General features: G+C 42.6%; 1 protein-coding gene across 11 annotated transcripts in view; it reads right to left on the bottom strand.

The window, feature by feature from the left end:
• TJP1 (tight junction protein 1) overlaps positions 1–9,167 on the bottom strand; it is a 269,683-nt gene extending 260,516 nt beyond the window's left edge. For all 11 annotated transcript variants that reach the window (XM_005254620.4, XM_047432984.1, XM_005254619.4 and 8 more), the window contains exon 1: positions 8,785–9,167. In XM_005254620.4, coding sequence (XP_005254677.2) covers positions 8,785–8,957 — 173 coding nt within the window. In that variant the 5' untranslated portion in view covers positions 8,958–9,167. The remainder of the gene's footprint in view (positions 1–8,784) is intronic.
• Positions 9,168–15,510: the final 6,343 nt, after the last annotated feature.

The raw sequence follows: 15,510 nt of genomic DNA on the forward strand, positions 1-15,510 counted from the left end.
AAACATTGTACAGCTTTGTTCTCTTCTCCACAGGGTAAAAGCTTCCATGAAAACAATGAACTTTATTCAAAAGAGGACATATGGGAAAGAAAAATAGAGTTATAAAACTAAATACAAATCAACTTCTCATTTCTCTCTCACTTTATTTTGATAGCGCTGGTAGGTGTGATCATATTTTAGAAAATTAATGCAAACATTTAATATAAATAAATAAATCTGTCTAGTGTTCTTCGTAAGTTTTTCTCTCATCTGACTTAGAAAGGCATCACTATTCTCCCTTTATGCCAAATCTAGAAGCCTAAAAGAGCCTGTAATAAAAATTTATATCTACCAAATTTTATAAATGGCAGATAGTCAAGAAATTTACCAGGGTTAACTCAATGTAATACTAAATCCAGTGACAAAGTAAAACAGAAAAATAAAATGATCATAAACAAAACTAGAAGAATAGATCCACTGCCCTCCCTACCAGGATCATAATAAAAACATGCTGTAATATCAGCACTTTGGGAGGCCGAGACATGAGGATCTCTTGAGCCCAGAAGTTTGAGACCAGCTTGGGCAACATAGAGAGATCCCGTCTCTACAAAAAATACAAAAAAACTCGCCAGGCGGGATTGCACATGCCTATGGGTCCCAACTACTTGGGACTCTGAGGTGGGAAGATCACCTAAGGCCAGGACGTCGAGGTTGCAGCGAATGGTGATCATACCACTGCACTCCAGTCTGGGCAATGGAGTGAGACCATGTCTCAAAAAAAAAAAAAAAAGTAATAATCAGTAGCGCTAAAGTGGTGTATACCAGGTGAAAATCAGCTCTGGACCTACCCTGCCCACAGACTCCACAGGAAGATGGTACCTTGTCTAAGAATTTAACCAGGCTTCTACAGAGTAACTTCAGGAACTTTAAAGCTTTGACCAGATCTTTGGGAAGCTGAGGTAAACTGTTAAAAGGCATATGGCTCAATAATGACCCCCCTTTGTTTGGTGTGGAATAAAGAAAAGAAAAAACACTGATCTAGATAATAATGCAGAATATTAACTCTGGTGTAAGTAGAAGTGCTCTTGTAGGAATAGGTGAATTTTAGATGTTGCTTCTCTTTTGTTTATTACTGTCTTTAAAAATATTTGTCTTGGGGAGGGGCGTGTGTGTTTCATTGTTTTCTGGACACTCACAAGAACACAGCTGCGTACCTGTAACTCAGGTGAGAAGAGCTATACAAAGAGTCCACCAAGGACAGTTCCATTTGACATGGAATATAAATTCTTTTAATCCCCTGGTACTACTCTTCCCCAGCCCTGATGGTGCAGATCTGAGCTGAGTAACTCAGACTTCAGGGATTATTCCCCGCATATTTAGGGGAATGGCCCTTTATGACAGGGAAATAAAGTTGGGAACTGATGTAGGGAAATCAATATTTAGCTTACAATGAGGTTTTACTTTTCCTAATTCTTTTTTTTTTTTTTTTTTTTTTTTTGAGACGGAGTCTCGCTCTGTCGCCCAGGCCGGACTGCGGACTGCAGTGGCGCAATCTCGGCTCACTGCAAGCTCCGCTTCCCGGGTTCACGCCATTCTCCTGCCTCAGCCTCCCGAGTAGTTTCCTAATTCTTAATTCCATTTTATCCTCCCTAGAGGGAAGGTGGGGAGAAAACTTCTGCCTCTCTCCACCTGCTTTGTAACTTCCCTTGTGAGAGTGTACTTTACTTGTGGGCATGGCTGATATGCATCAAACGCTGAAGTCCAGGGCCCACCCTCTCGTTCCACTTCCTACCCCTACCGGATGAACACAGACCACAGGCCTGGCCCCTGGAGGCAGTCCCCCACTTGATCTGCCCATTTCCCTTCTCTTCACCTGACACTGCTAGAACAGGTCTGGTCTGCACTGCAGCCTCCACCATCATAGCTCCCGAGGTAAGAGAGGAAGCATCCCCTCAGAGGCTTGCAGACCAGTGTGGCCTGCTCCAGCACAGCTTCCTAGACAGACCCTCATTTGGGTGATAGCCAGCACCTGCCCCAATATTATTAACAACCCAGAAAACTGTTAACATTTAGTTCTTGTTCCTTGAATGTATCTTCCCTGGTCAAGGACATGCAGGAGAAAGATATACACCAATCCAACTCCACCCATTATGTCACACCTACAAAGCTCTGTTGGGCGCTCTGCTGGCTACAGGCCAAATGTGGACTGCTACATCTTTGACATGGGACTCGGTCCTTAGCAAAGTCATTTAAATCTGACAGAGATACAAATTTTCACTAGTCCAAAATACTTGCACCACAGTGCAGCACAACTTCTTGACATTCTGCAACCATCCCTCCCACACCCTTCCCTCTGCTGGAATGCTTTTCTACTCCCCATCCTTGAAAGCCCAATGTTCCCAGGAAGCCTCAGATATTCATGCCTTTTGTTTCCAACTCAGGAGCTTTGGCTACAAATATTTCTGACCATTCTAAGACAAACAACTCCCAAGCTCATCTACACCACCCATTTCTAATTTCCAGTGGAAAAGAACTCAATAATAACACAGAATCGGGCAAAAATAATCAAGATGGCAAAAACAAAGCAGTCACACAAGGACAAATCTATCAACAAAGTAACATCTAATAATCCTTCTACAAGATATTTGTTTTAAGATACCAGCAACTGACAGCCACAGCCAACTCAAGAGAAGGCTAATGAGTGACAGCAAAGCTGTCCCCTTCCTCCACTTGAGGGGAATTCCAAACAACAGTGTGAGCCAAGGAGCTGTGAGACACTGCTAAGTACAGAAGGGCAGCTGGCTTTAAAAGGATGCTAAATCCTTCTGAAGGACACTTCAGGAAAAGCTAGTAAAATGCTAATTTTTGTTTATAAGCATTGGACTTCAGAAAGCTTAATAACTCATGTAATAGGTTAACAGTAAATAGTCATCTGATGAACTTAGAAAAAATAATGTGCACAACTGCCAATAATTAGGTCATTTAAAAAATTGTGGGCTGGGCACAGTGGCTCACGCCTGTTATCCCAGCACTTTGGGAGGCCAAGGTGGGTGGATCACCTGAAGGTCAGGAGTTTGAGACCAGCCTGGCCAACATGGTGAAACCCCGTCTCTACTAAAAATATAAAAAATTAGCCAGGTGTGGTGGTGGGCACCTGTAATCCCAGCTACTTAGGAGGCTGAGGCAGAAGAATCACTTGCACCCGGGAGGCGGAGGTTGCAGTGAGCTGAGATCGCGCCATTGCACTCCAGCCTGGGTGACAAGAGTGAAACTTCGTCTCAAAAAAAGAAAAAATTATGAAAGGACTTGGGTATTGGAGCCCTTCACGTCCCAACAGGAGGACCTCAGTGATCCATGAGTGGGCCGGGGGACCACCCTTGGAGAAACAACCTTCTATCGGGCAATTACCAGTCATTTTAGTATCTGTTTTCAGTTATTCTCTCCTTCTAGACTGTCATCTCACTGATCAATTGTCTTTTGAACCTTGATCAATTGTATGAGTCTGAGCAAGTCAATGACCTAATTTGTAAAACCGAGAAAATACAGCCTCATGGGGTGCTATAAGTTAAATAATGACAAGATACTTGGAAAGCACTAATATAGAGTGCAGCAAGTAATAGCTCAATGAATAGCAACTCTTATTGTTTTTGGAATCTGATTATTAGATGACTACTTGAATGAATATACTGATAGTGCATGGCCTTAAATAATCACTGAATCAAATAACTGGGGAAATGTTTTTAGAGTATAAAGAAAATGAAATCACACCCCCTTTTCTCCCTAAGATCACTGTAAATACTTTTTTCTTTTTGAGACTGAGTCTCGCTCTGTTGCCAGGCTGGGGTGCAGTGGCATGATCTCGGCTCACTGCAACCTCCACCTCCTGGGTTCAAGCGATTCTTCTGTCTCAGCCTCCCGAGCAGCTGGGACTACAGGTACGCGCCATCACGCCCAGCTAATTTTTGTATTTTTAGTAGAGACAGGGTTTCACCATGTTGGCCAGGATGGTCTCGATCTCTTGACCTTGTAATCTGCCCGCCTCAGCCTTCCAAAGTGTTGGGATTACAGGTGTGAGCCACTGTGCCCAGCCCACTGTAAATACTCTTAAAGCACTTAGTGCAAAACTCAAGACTGCTGATAGCAATAAATTATGAAAATATTTTTCACATTTTACATTAAAAAGGAGTAACTATTATTTGTGCCTCATACCTGCAGAACAGCAGCATAAATGTCACCTTACTTAGAATGTTACCATGTTTAGAAACAAAGTCTTTGCTGATGTAATTAAAGATCTCCAGATGAGATCATCCTGGATCATCCAGGTGGGCCCTAAATCCAATGACAAGTGTCCTTATAAGAGACAGAGGAATAAGGAAGCAAGACTCAAGGATGTCAGAGGAGAGCTGTTTTAGTTGCAGTGGAGATTCTAATATGGCCTGCAGAAGAATCTGTCTGCATATGTATACATCATATTATAAAATGGAGCATTTATTTTATGAGTTCCTAGTTTATAATTTGAAATAAATTAAAAATTAAAAGTTTTAGTCTTTTAAAAAAAGAGAGACAGGAGAAGACACAGAGACACAGAGACACAGAGAAGGTCATGTGAAGACAGAAGCAGAGAATGGATTGATGCAGCCACAAAGAATGTTCGAAAGAGGCAAGGAAGGATCCTCCCCTACAGCATTTGAGGGAGTGTGACCCTGCCAACACCTTGATTTTGGACTTCTAGCCTCCATAACTCAGAAAATAAATTTCTGCTGTTTTCAGCCACCAAGTTTATGTGATCTGTTACAGCAGCCCCTGAAAACACAAAGCCCCACTGCTTCTTTTCATCGCTGGCAATTCCAGGGTGTCCCCCAAAGGAAGCCAGCAGGCTCTGCAAACTTATACCTACCTCAGGTAGAGGTAACCAGGCTTTGTTCTGTGTTCCTAAGTAATGATTCAGAACCAAACACTGCAAACGCCCCTGCTTTCTAAATTTCTTGAAGAAGGGGATGAGGAAAAGAGAGTTCCTACAGGCTCCACTGATGTGGGTCTGACTGTCTGCTTTAGTTTCCACCTAAGTTGGTCTGCAAATATAATTCTCCTTACGAGATTTGTAGAGCCAATCAGAAAGACAGGAGATATTGCACAAAGAAAAACTGACAGGCACAAATGCCCAAGCGAGATGGAAGTGTGGGAATAAGGCATGCAACCCTGCCCTTTACACTGGCAGAAGCCTTTCCATATAGACTGCAGTAAAGACAGAGAAACACAGATATATAAATATCTTCATATAAATCTTCACATATGCCTTGACCAGTTTTCATAATACATCCTCACATTTATTTATTTATTTATTTATTTATTTATTTATTTATTTTGAGATGGAGTCTTGCTCTGTCACCCAGGCTGGAGTGCAATGGTACAATCTCGGCTCACTGCAACCTCCGCCTCCTAGGTTCAAGCGATTCTCCTGCCTCAGCCTCTTGAGTAGCTGGAATTACAGGCACACACCACCATGCCTGGCTAATTTTTATATATTTTTAGTAGAGACAGGGTTTCACCATATTGACCAGGCTGGTATCGACCTCCTGACCTCAAGTGGTCCACCCATCTTGGTCTCTCACAGTGCTGAGATTACAGGTATGAGCCACCACGTCAGGCCCTCACATTTGTAAACAGGCACAAGCTGGTGCATTCCAAAGTCTTACAAGCATTGTTGATGTCTGCTATTGGTTTCCACCCACCACTCTAGAGTCAGGACCTACATCCTACTATCTTCTAGACATATGATGGTGCCTTATGTCTCCAATGCTCCATGTGCGGTTGCTATGAAACTAGCAAAATGAAACATTATCTAAAAAATAAATCCAAAGCGTATAAGAGAAAAATAAATCTGGCGGCACAATGTTCTCCAACTTAAGAATATGAAGTATTCTACATCTCTGTTTAAAAGAGCCACTCACTCCAGAGTCTTCATAGAGCATACCCTTCCCTTTGCCGCTGTAGAATCAGATGAATGTTTGCAAGTTAACAATGAGTGGAAATTAAGAAATGATTATCTAAGATCATGGAAAAGCTCAACAAAAGCCTCTTGCCTTTTCCAGGCCGCCTCTTAGTAAGATGGTTTTTATCCCTGGCCCTAACTCACTGCCTACCTCAAACATGAATTGCTTGGATATAAAAGTTACCTGGATTTTATTTCCTTGTGTCCTCTCTTCAGAAATTCTGTGTTTAGAGAATGTGTTTTCAGAAGCAGAACCCCAATGATGGAAAATAATAAATATAGTTTCCTAACTTTGTGACCAAATGCTGCTAATATTGATGTCTAATAATTCCTCAAATATTATTCCCACATCTTGATTTTTAAACTGGCCCGCGCGCAGTGGCTCACACCTGTAATCCCAGCACTTTGGAAGGCCAAGGCAGGTGGATCACCTAACGTCAGGAGTTTGAGACGAGCCTGACCAACATGGTAATGCCCCATCTGTACTAAAAATACAAAATATTAGCCGGGTGTGGTGGTAGGCGCCTGTAATCCCAGCTACTCAGGAGGCTGAGGCAGGAGAATCACTTGAATCCTGGAGTGGAGGTTGCAATGAGCCGAGATCTGCCATTGCACTCCAGCCTGGGCAAGAAGAGCAAAACTGTTTCAAAATAAATAAATAAATAAATAAATAATAAATAATTTTAAACTGAACATTAAGAAAACAGATTTCCTAACATATTATTTCCCAATCACAAATTATTAAGAATCCATTTATTCAACAAATATTTATTGAGAAGCTTTCTGGTACATTTGTACCAGACATCCGTTGCAGGGTTTTACAGTAATGGATGAAACAAACAAAAGCCCTCCCTCATGCAACTTACATTTTAGTGAGGAGAAGGGGAATATATATGAAAAATAAGTAAAATAAACAATGTGTTAGTTATTGATAAGGGCTCAGGAGAAAAGCAAAATGGGAGATATGACTGCTGGTGCTGATATTTCCCATACCCCCACATACCATCAATCTGAGAAGCGATCTTCAAATGTTACCCCTTCTTCCTTCACTGTAGTGACAGTCTTCATTTATTTGCTAACATCTCCCACGGACATGTTTTAATTGAACTGTGGCTAACCTTGTCTTCTAAGTGTTGTCACTTGCTGTTCATCACATTAAAATATCTTTTTTTTTTTTTTGAAATAGGAGTCTCACTCTCGCCCAGGCTGGAGTGCAGTGGCATGACCTTGGCTCACTGCAACCTCTGCCTCCCGGGTTCAAGCGATTCTCCTGCCTCAGCCTCCCAAGTAGCTGAGATTACAGCCACACACCACCATGCCCGGGTAATTTTGTATTTTTTTGGTTTATTTGTTTGTTTATTTAGTAGAGATGGGGTTTCACCATGTTGGTCAGGCTGGTCTTGAACTCCAGACCTCAGGCGATACGCCTGCCTCGACCTCCCATAGTGCTGGGATTACAGGTGTGAGCCACTATACCCGGCACATTAAAGTATCTTTTGCAGAATAAATTTATTTAAAAAAAAAAAACCAAACTGGTGGGGGCAGAAAGACACTAACATTTACTAAGCACCTATTATTAAGCCAAGCACAGTGGTAGACACCTTTGTATTCATTATCAGAGTTGATCTGTGTATATCCCCATGAGGGAGATAACAAGATTCTCACTTTACAGAGGAAGAAACAGACACTCCAGGAACTTAAGGTCACACAGTAAGTGGCACAACTGAATTCTGAACTTTGCTGTCCATATTTGTCTTACCTTCAAAATTCTCCACTTTTAGGATTCTTTTTCTTAACCCATCTTTTTCTTGGCTGATCACGCTATATACTTTTTTGGTAAGGATCACTCTTTCACACTGTCTTATAGAGCAGGAATTACTTTCCTCATTACCTAAAAGCAGCCTCATCTCCTTTCTCTACAACCTTAGGATTAAATTAGACTGTGCTCAATTGAATTGAATAAAACCTTTATGAACTACACTGACCACTAATTTTAAAATTAAAATGACCAATGCCATAACTGGCATCTTTTTTCTGTAGTCATCTTCCCTTTACTAGGTTATTTCTTTTGCAAAAGAATCTTAATCCTAAATCTCAAGCCAGTGGCATACCTAGGTGGCTCCTGGGATTCCGCATGGATTACGGATTATTATTAATAAAATGCAATATACAATCCTGTAGATAATCAGCAACGTAAACCAGTAAGGTCCAGACATTTTTCTTTAAGGATGTTTTTTCCTCATTACCTCAGTAACAGTTTCCAGGTCGGAGGAACTGGAACGCATGCAGGTGGAATACAGTCCCTGACAATGCAATAATAATTTCCCAACTTATTCCCCTTGCCTTGCTCGTCCTCTACTATGCACTCAGCAGCAGACGAATTTTTGGAAAATAACTGAAAACGCACACCGTGATACCAATGAATTCTTCTGCTGTCTCCGCGAGAGCCTGGCTGGAAATTCTGAGCCAGAACCCGCCGTAATGGAGCAGAAAGGACAGACAGAGGCGGGAGGCCGACGCCCGGGTGCGGGTGCCAGGCGTCCCGGCCGCTCCCCGTCGCCCTACGCGCCGCGGGCACAGCGAGGGTCTCGGCGAAACCAGTCAGCGGGCACGCGGTACAAGGCGGCGCTCGGCCCTGGGCTCGGCCTTGGCTGCTGCGCCCCGCGCGGCGCGCCCCGCGTCCCGTCGGGCCCGACAGTCGCGGCCTCGCCCCCCGCCCGACCGCCCCGGCCGCCGCTCGCTCTCCCACTCCGGCCCCCGCCCCGCTCCGCGCCTAGCCCGGCTGGGGCTCCGCGCCCGCGCGGCCGCCTCACCACAGCTTCCTCTTGAGCGGCAGGAGGCTGCCGCGGTTGGAGGGGGTGACGCCGATGGCCATCTGCAGCACCGTCAGGTATTTCTGGTACTTCATCTTGTCCCCGCTCCGCTCGCGGGCAGGGCCCCGCCGCCTCCGCCGCCGCCGCAGACACAGCCCCTCCAGGCGCCGCATAGATCAGCTCTGGGCCATCCGCCGCCACCACAGCTCCCACCGCTCCCGCGCCCGCCGCACCCGCAGCTGCGGCCGTGCGTGGCCCGGGCTCCCGCTCCCGCCGCCGCCGTCGCCGTGCGTGCCCGGCCGCTCCCGCCGCCGCCGCCGTGCGTGGCCCGCAGCTCCCGCCGCCGCCGCCCCTTCCACCCCTGCAGGCCGTGGCCCGGCGGCGCGCTCCGGTGGGCGGGTGCGGGTCTCGCGGGAGGCCGGGCTGGCTTGGCCCCCGCTCCGGAGCCGCTGGGCGAGGCCGGGCCACCTGCGCGCCGGCCGCCCTGCCCAGGCCCTGCGCCCGCGTGCCGCGGTGTTTTCAGCGGCTGGCAGGAGCTCCTTCTCAACCGTTAGCACCCAAAGAGAATCCCAACAGCACACTTCCAGCGCGGATTAAAACAAACAAACAAACAACAACAACAACAAAAACGAGACGCTGCCTGTTGGTTTGTAACTATCAATTGATGTGTTCTATCCCAAAGTGGTTGACTTCACATTGACATATAATGCATATGGCGAATACGTACTACACGCGCATGCAGTCCTCGCTTGCACGGTAATTCTGGACGCTGGAAATGACTGAACCATGCAAAACTACCTTAATAATCACTGGGAAAAATTAAGATTGTTTCACGACTTTAAACAGTTTTTCTCAAAACATTCAAAGCAGTCCGGGCACGGTGGCTCACGCCTGTAATCCCAGCACTTTGGGAGGCCCAGACGGGAAGATGGCATGAGCCCAGGAGTTCGAGACCAGCCCTGGGCAACACAGTGAGACCCGGTCTCTACAAAATAAAAAAAAAAAATTAGCCAGGCGTGGTGGTGTGCACCTGTAGTCCCAGCTTCTCAGGAGAATGAGGGGGGAGAATCACTTGAGCCCCGGAAGCCGAGGTTGCAGTGAGCCAAGGTCGCACCACAGCACTCCAGCCTGGGTGACAGAGCAAGTCCTTGTCTTGGAAAGAACAAACAACAACAAAAGAACCATTCAAAACTCGCTTAACTGATGGTTACAAATACCCTGTATATGGAAATGAAAAAAAATCAGTTTAAAACATTCAAACATTGAGAATTAAAGTATTTTTTGTGTTTGTAAAAATAAAGCTTATTAAGAATAACTTGAACAGTGCTTGTCTTCTTCTAGTGTAACTCTTATATACCACCTTTTCTGTACTTTAGCAAAACATCACATTTGGATTACACGCAAGTATTTTATCCTTTGCACTTCCAATGCCATGCAATGTCTCAGAGAGTTCCTTTAATGTAAAATGTTTTTGTGGACCTCATTTCCTCCGGGACATCCTCATCCTTTTAGTCACAGCCATTTTCCTCATTCAGTGTGCTTTGAGTAAGTTTCACTGACTGCATATCTAGTCTCTGGAAAGTCAGCACTCCCACAGTTGTCTATTTCTTCTATAGTACTTCATTTGCATTCAATTTGAATTTCACTTCAATTCCATCTTTACCATTTTTTTATTTCTTTGCTGCACTTTCATCTTTGTTGACCAATTCCCTTTCAATTATTCATTTTTATACAATGCTGTGTGAGTTTAACACTTGGAGAAAAGGAAGCAACACAATTGCACACTTTGCTGCCAGTGCCTAAACTAACAGTGCAATGACCCGTCACTGACAGATTTTGAAAGAACTGCTGTGATTGGTCACTGGTTGTTATGGACATCTATTGTTTACATAGGGTTTTGTGGACTAAAGAGCTAGAAGCAAAGATTGTACTATGTTTGTTCACAGCTAAAATAGCATGATAACTAAAATTTGTTTTTTTTGTTTTTGCTTTGTTTTGTTTTTGAGACAGGATCTCATGCTGTTGCCCAGGCTGCAGTGCAGTGGCACAATCATGGCTCACTAGAGCCTCTACCTCCCAGGCTCAAGCGATCTTCCCACCTGGGCCTCCCAAGTAGCTGGAACTACAGGCATACACCACTAAGCCTGGCTAATTTTTGTATTTTTATTTTTTGAAGAGACGGGATCTCACTATGTTGCCCAGGCTAGTCTCAAACTCCTGGGCTCAAGCGATCCTCCCACCTCAGCCTCTCAAAGTGCTGCAATTATAGGCATGAGCCACCATGCCCCATCCAGTAACTAAAATTTCAACCATATTGTTGAGATACTGGTGTTATTTAACTAAATAGCTGACATCAGTCATATCTGAACCTGCAAAGCAAAGGATGCCTATTTGGATATATGCATACTATATATATGTGTGTATATATAGTATATATGAAGAGTACCAATAATAAGCACCTATGCATCCACCAGGCAGAAGTGTTAACCCCCTCCCTCCACAGTTTATCCCTCCTGCACCTCTATTTAAATACTTCATCTTCAAATTAATTAGCACATAAGATTAAAACAACACAATCTTCCTGGGGTTTGGGTTCCCAACATGATTTCACAGTCACTTAGGTAGGAAAGCAGGTCTAAATATTTCACTTTCATTTACCCAGAAATTTTAGCTCTCACATAAAATGAGGAATTGGCAGGTTTTTGACACTTCGGTTGTATACTCCCCTGGGGAGAGGACATCCTTGGAGCAGAACTTTTAAGAAACATCAAGGCCTGTTTTTATATACTCACCATGTCAAATATATGTTTGGCCTTTTGCATTACTTTGTCATAATAATTGTAAGATATTTGATGAAAATACTACACTGTGCTCAAAGATTTAGGCACCTGGAAGCTGAGGGACCTATTCAGGATAATAAGCAATAAAAATAAATCTGGGAGAAGCACTTCTAGAGTGGTAGAAAATCTGCTTCTCCATAAAAGGGAGTACACTGGCAAAAATAGTTAAAACCAACTCCAGAAATTAACCAAACACAACAATCCAAGGAGTATTTATTAAAGAAAAATTACTGAATCTTGGTGAGTACAGTGAGCTTTAGGGCATTTTGATCTGCCCAATTCTCAACTACTTCTCTCCAGCTCTACAGTAGCCTAGTAAGCCAACAGCCTCACAACTACAGTAGCTTTGAAAACCATCCAGCAGCCACTGGATGGGGCAGAATAGGTTTAGATCTTCTCAAAAGCCCCATACTAAGTAAACTGTCATTATTTGACCTGTCTGGAAGCACCTTGAAAAGTTCCATTCTCAGGGTTTGTCTTTATTTGACCTGGTTCAGAACTTGCTCTGTGCAAACAGCCCTATCCCTGGTGCATTTGTTGAAAACAATCAGTTGCAACTGTTTAACATCACAGATACCTGCGGTGGTGAAACTGTTTGGTACTAACAAGAAGCTAACCAAAAAAGTTAAAAAAAAATGGGCAATAAGAGTCCATATAGTTCCTTGAAAAGCTCTGACATATACCTAGGAATCCAGAATTTCATGCAGGACATGCATGTACATGCAGGACTGTGAACACACCCAAAAAACACCTAAGAAGACTCTAATCTCTCACCTCTGTCTGACCTTGAGTTTCAGTACAATGCAGAAAATAAAGGCTAAGGAAGAATCGTAAACTACCTACCACAATGTGCAAGGCATGCCCCAGCACACACAGCCTCTCAGCAAAAGCTAGGGGATTTATTGGCTCAAAGCATTTAAGAAAATATCCATTCAATCATTAGCTAAGCACTAAACTATCCAAGCAGAGACTCTAATGGCTGCACACAACAAACAATACAGACTTTATAGATTAGTCCAGCAAAGTCACTAAACCAGCAACAAACCTCAGTGGAGAGGAGGGGATATGATTTCTAGAGTTGTCACATTACATTGTTCAAAACATCCAGATCTCAACAAAAAAGTTCACAACATCCAAAGAAACAAAATTATGGCCTATATGCAGGAAAAAGCAGTTAATAGAAACCATTCCTGAGGAATCCCAGGCATTGGACTTACTGAACAAAGACTTTAAATCAGCCATTATGAATATGTTCACAGAACTAAAGGAAACCATGTCTAATGAACTAAAGGAAAATGTGAGAATGATGTCTTACTAAATAGATAATATCAATAAACAGAAGTTTTAAAAAATAGAAACTCTGGAGTTGAAAAGTACAAAGAGTGAGATGAAAAAATTCTCTAGAGGAGCTCAATAACAACATATATGAACTGGTAGAAGCAAAAGGCAGTGAACTTGGAGATAGCTCAATTGAAATTATCCAGGCTGAGAAACAGAAAGAAAAAAGAATGAAGAAAATGAACAAATTCTCAGAGACTTATGGGAAACCATGAGTTTATGTGTATATTAACATGCACATAAAGTCCCAGAAGGAAAGGATAGAGAGAAAGGAATACAAAGAATATTTGAAGAAATAGCCTGCCCAGACTTTATGAAAAACAGTAATCTGCCATCCAAGGAGCTCAAAAAACTTGAAGTAGTGACCTAGACACATAATAGTCAAACTGTTGAAAGCCAAAGATGATGAGAAAATTTTGAAAGCAGCAAAAGAAAAACAACTCATCACACACAAAGGATCCTCAATAAGCTTAATAGCTGACTTCTCATCATAAATCATGAAGGTCAGAAGGTGGTGGGAAGACATCATATTTAAAGGGTGGAAGGAAAAATATCCTTCAAAAATGAAAGAGAAATTATGGCATTCCAGGTAAACAGAAAGTGAATGAAATCATCACTAGCAGACATGCACTATTACCAAAGGGAACCTTGCAGGCTGAAATGAAAGAATATTAGAAATTTAAATCCACATAAAGAAAATAAGAGCAGTGATTCTGATAACTACACAATTGAATATAAAAAATTATTTTAATTTTTAAAATTAAAAAATTTTAAATTAAAAAATCTGAACACTCTGATTTAAAACACAACTGCATAAAACAATGGCTATGAGCTGTGTCGATAGGCTTTTAATGTATAAACATACAATTTGTTTGACAATCATATTACAAAGATAAGAGGGACAGAGTGGATGTATACTGGAGCATAGTTTTGGCATGCTATTGAAATTAAGGCAAGTCGGCTGGGTGCGGTGGCTCACGCTTGTAATCCCAGGACTTTGGGAGGCCAAGGCAGGTGGGTCATGAGGTCAGGAGATCAAGACCATCCTGGCTAACACAATGAAACTGCGTCTCTACTAAAAATACAAAAAATTAGCCAGGCCTGGTGGTGGGTGCCTGTAGTCCCAGCTACTTGGGAGGCTGAGGCAGGAGAATGGTGTGAACCCGGGAGGTGGAGCTTGCAGTGAGCTGAGATCTCACCACTGCACTCCAGCCTGGGCGACAGAGCAAGACTCCATCTCAAAAAAAAAAAAAAAAAAAAGAGAGAGATTAAGGCAAGGCACGGTAGCTCATGCCTATAATCCCAGCACTTTGGGAGGCCTAGGTGGGAGAATTGCTTGAGCCCAGGAATTCGAGACCAGCCTGGGCAACACAGTGGGACTTCATCTCTAGAAAAATAAATAAATAAATAAATAAATAAATAAATAAAAAATTAGCCAGGCATGGTGGCACGTGCCTGTAGTCCCAGCTACTTGGGAGGCTGAGGTAGGAGGATCTCTTGAGCCTGGGAGATGGAGGCTGCAGTGAACCATGATTGTGCCATTGTACTCCAGGCTGGGCAACAGCAGGAGACCCTGTCTTGAAAAAAGGAAAAAAAAAAGAAATTAAGTTAGTATTAATACTACTTAGGTTATTTTAAGTTAAGAAGCTAATTGTAATCCCCGGGATGACTATTAAGAAAATGATTTTTTCAAAATGTTATACAAGAAATAACAAGGAAATTAAAATGATACAGTAGAGAATATATAGCACAAAAGAAAACAGTAACAGAAGAATAGAACAAAACAAGATATAAGACATATAGAAAGCAAATAGCAAAATGGCAGACATAAATTCTACCTTACCACTAATTACATTAAAGGTAAATGTACTAAGCATTCCCATCAAAAGACAGAGATTGGTAAAATGGATCTTAAATAAATGTATAACCTAATCTTTCACTTTGAGCAACTAGAAAGAGGAGCAGAATAAACTCAAAGCAAGGAAAAGGAAGGAAATAAGGATTAAGAGTAGAAATAAATGAAATGATGAATAAAAAAACAGAGAAAATCAGCAAAACCAAAAGTTGGTTCTTAGGAAGTATTAAATATCAATAAAGATGACAAACCTTCAGCTAGACTGACCAAGTGAGAGAGAGAACTCAAATTACTAAATTTGGACTGAAAGAGGGGACATTACTACCAACCTTGCAGAAACAAAAGTGATTATAAGGAGTATACTAAATTATGTTGTCCCAGCTACTCGGCAGGCTGAGGTGGGAAGATCACTTAAGCCCAGGAGGTGGAGGTTGCAGTGAGTTAAGATTGCACCACTATACTTTAGCCTGGGTGATAGAGCAAGACTCTGTCAAAAAAAAAAAGAAAGAGAGAGAGAAAGAAAGAAAGCAAGAAAGAAAGAAAAGAAAAAAGGAAGAAAGAAAAAAAAGAGAGAAAGGAAGGAAGGAGGGAAAGAAAGAAAAGAAAGAAGGGAGGGAGGGAGGGAAGGAGGGAAGGACCTACCTACGTGAATTAGAAAACTTTCTAGAAAGACCAACCTACTGAAATTGACTC

This window comes from Homo sapiens, chromosome 15 (assembly GCF_000001405.40).
Source record: "Homo sapiens chromosome 15, GRCh38.p14 Primary Assembly".
Lineage (NCBI taxonomy): Eukaryota > Metazoa > Chordata > Mammalia > Primates > Hominidae > Homo > Homo sapiens.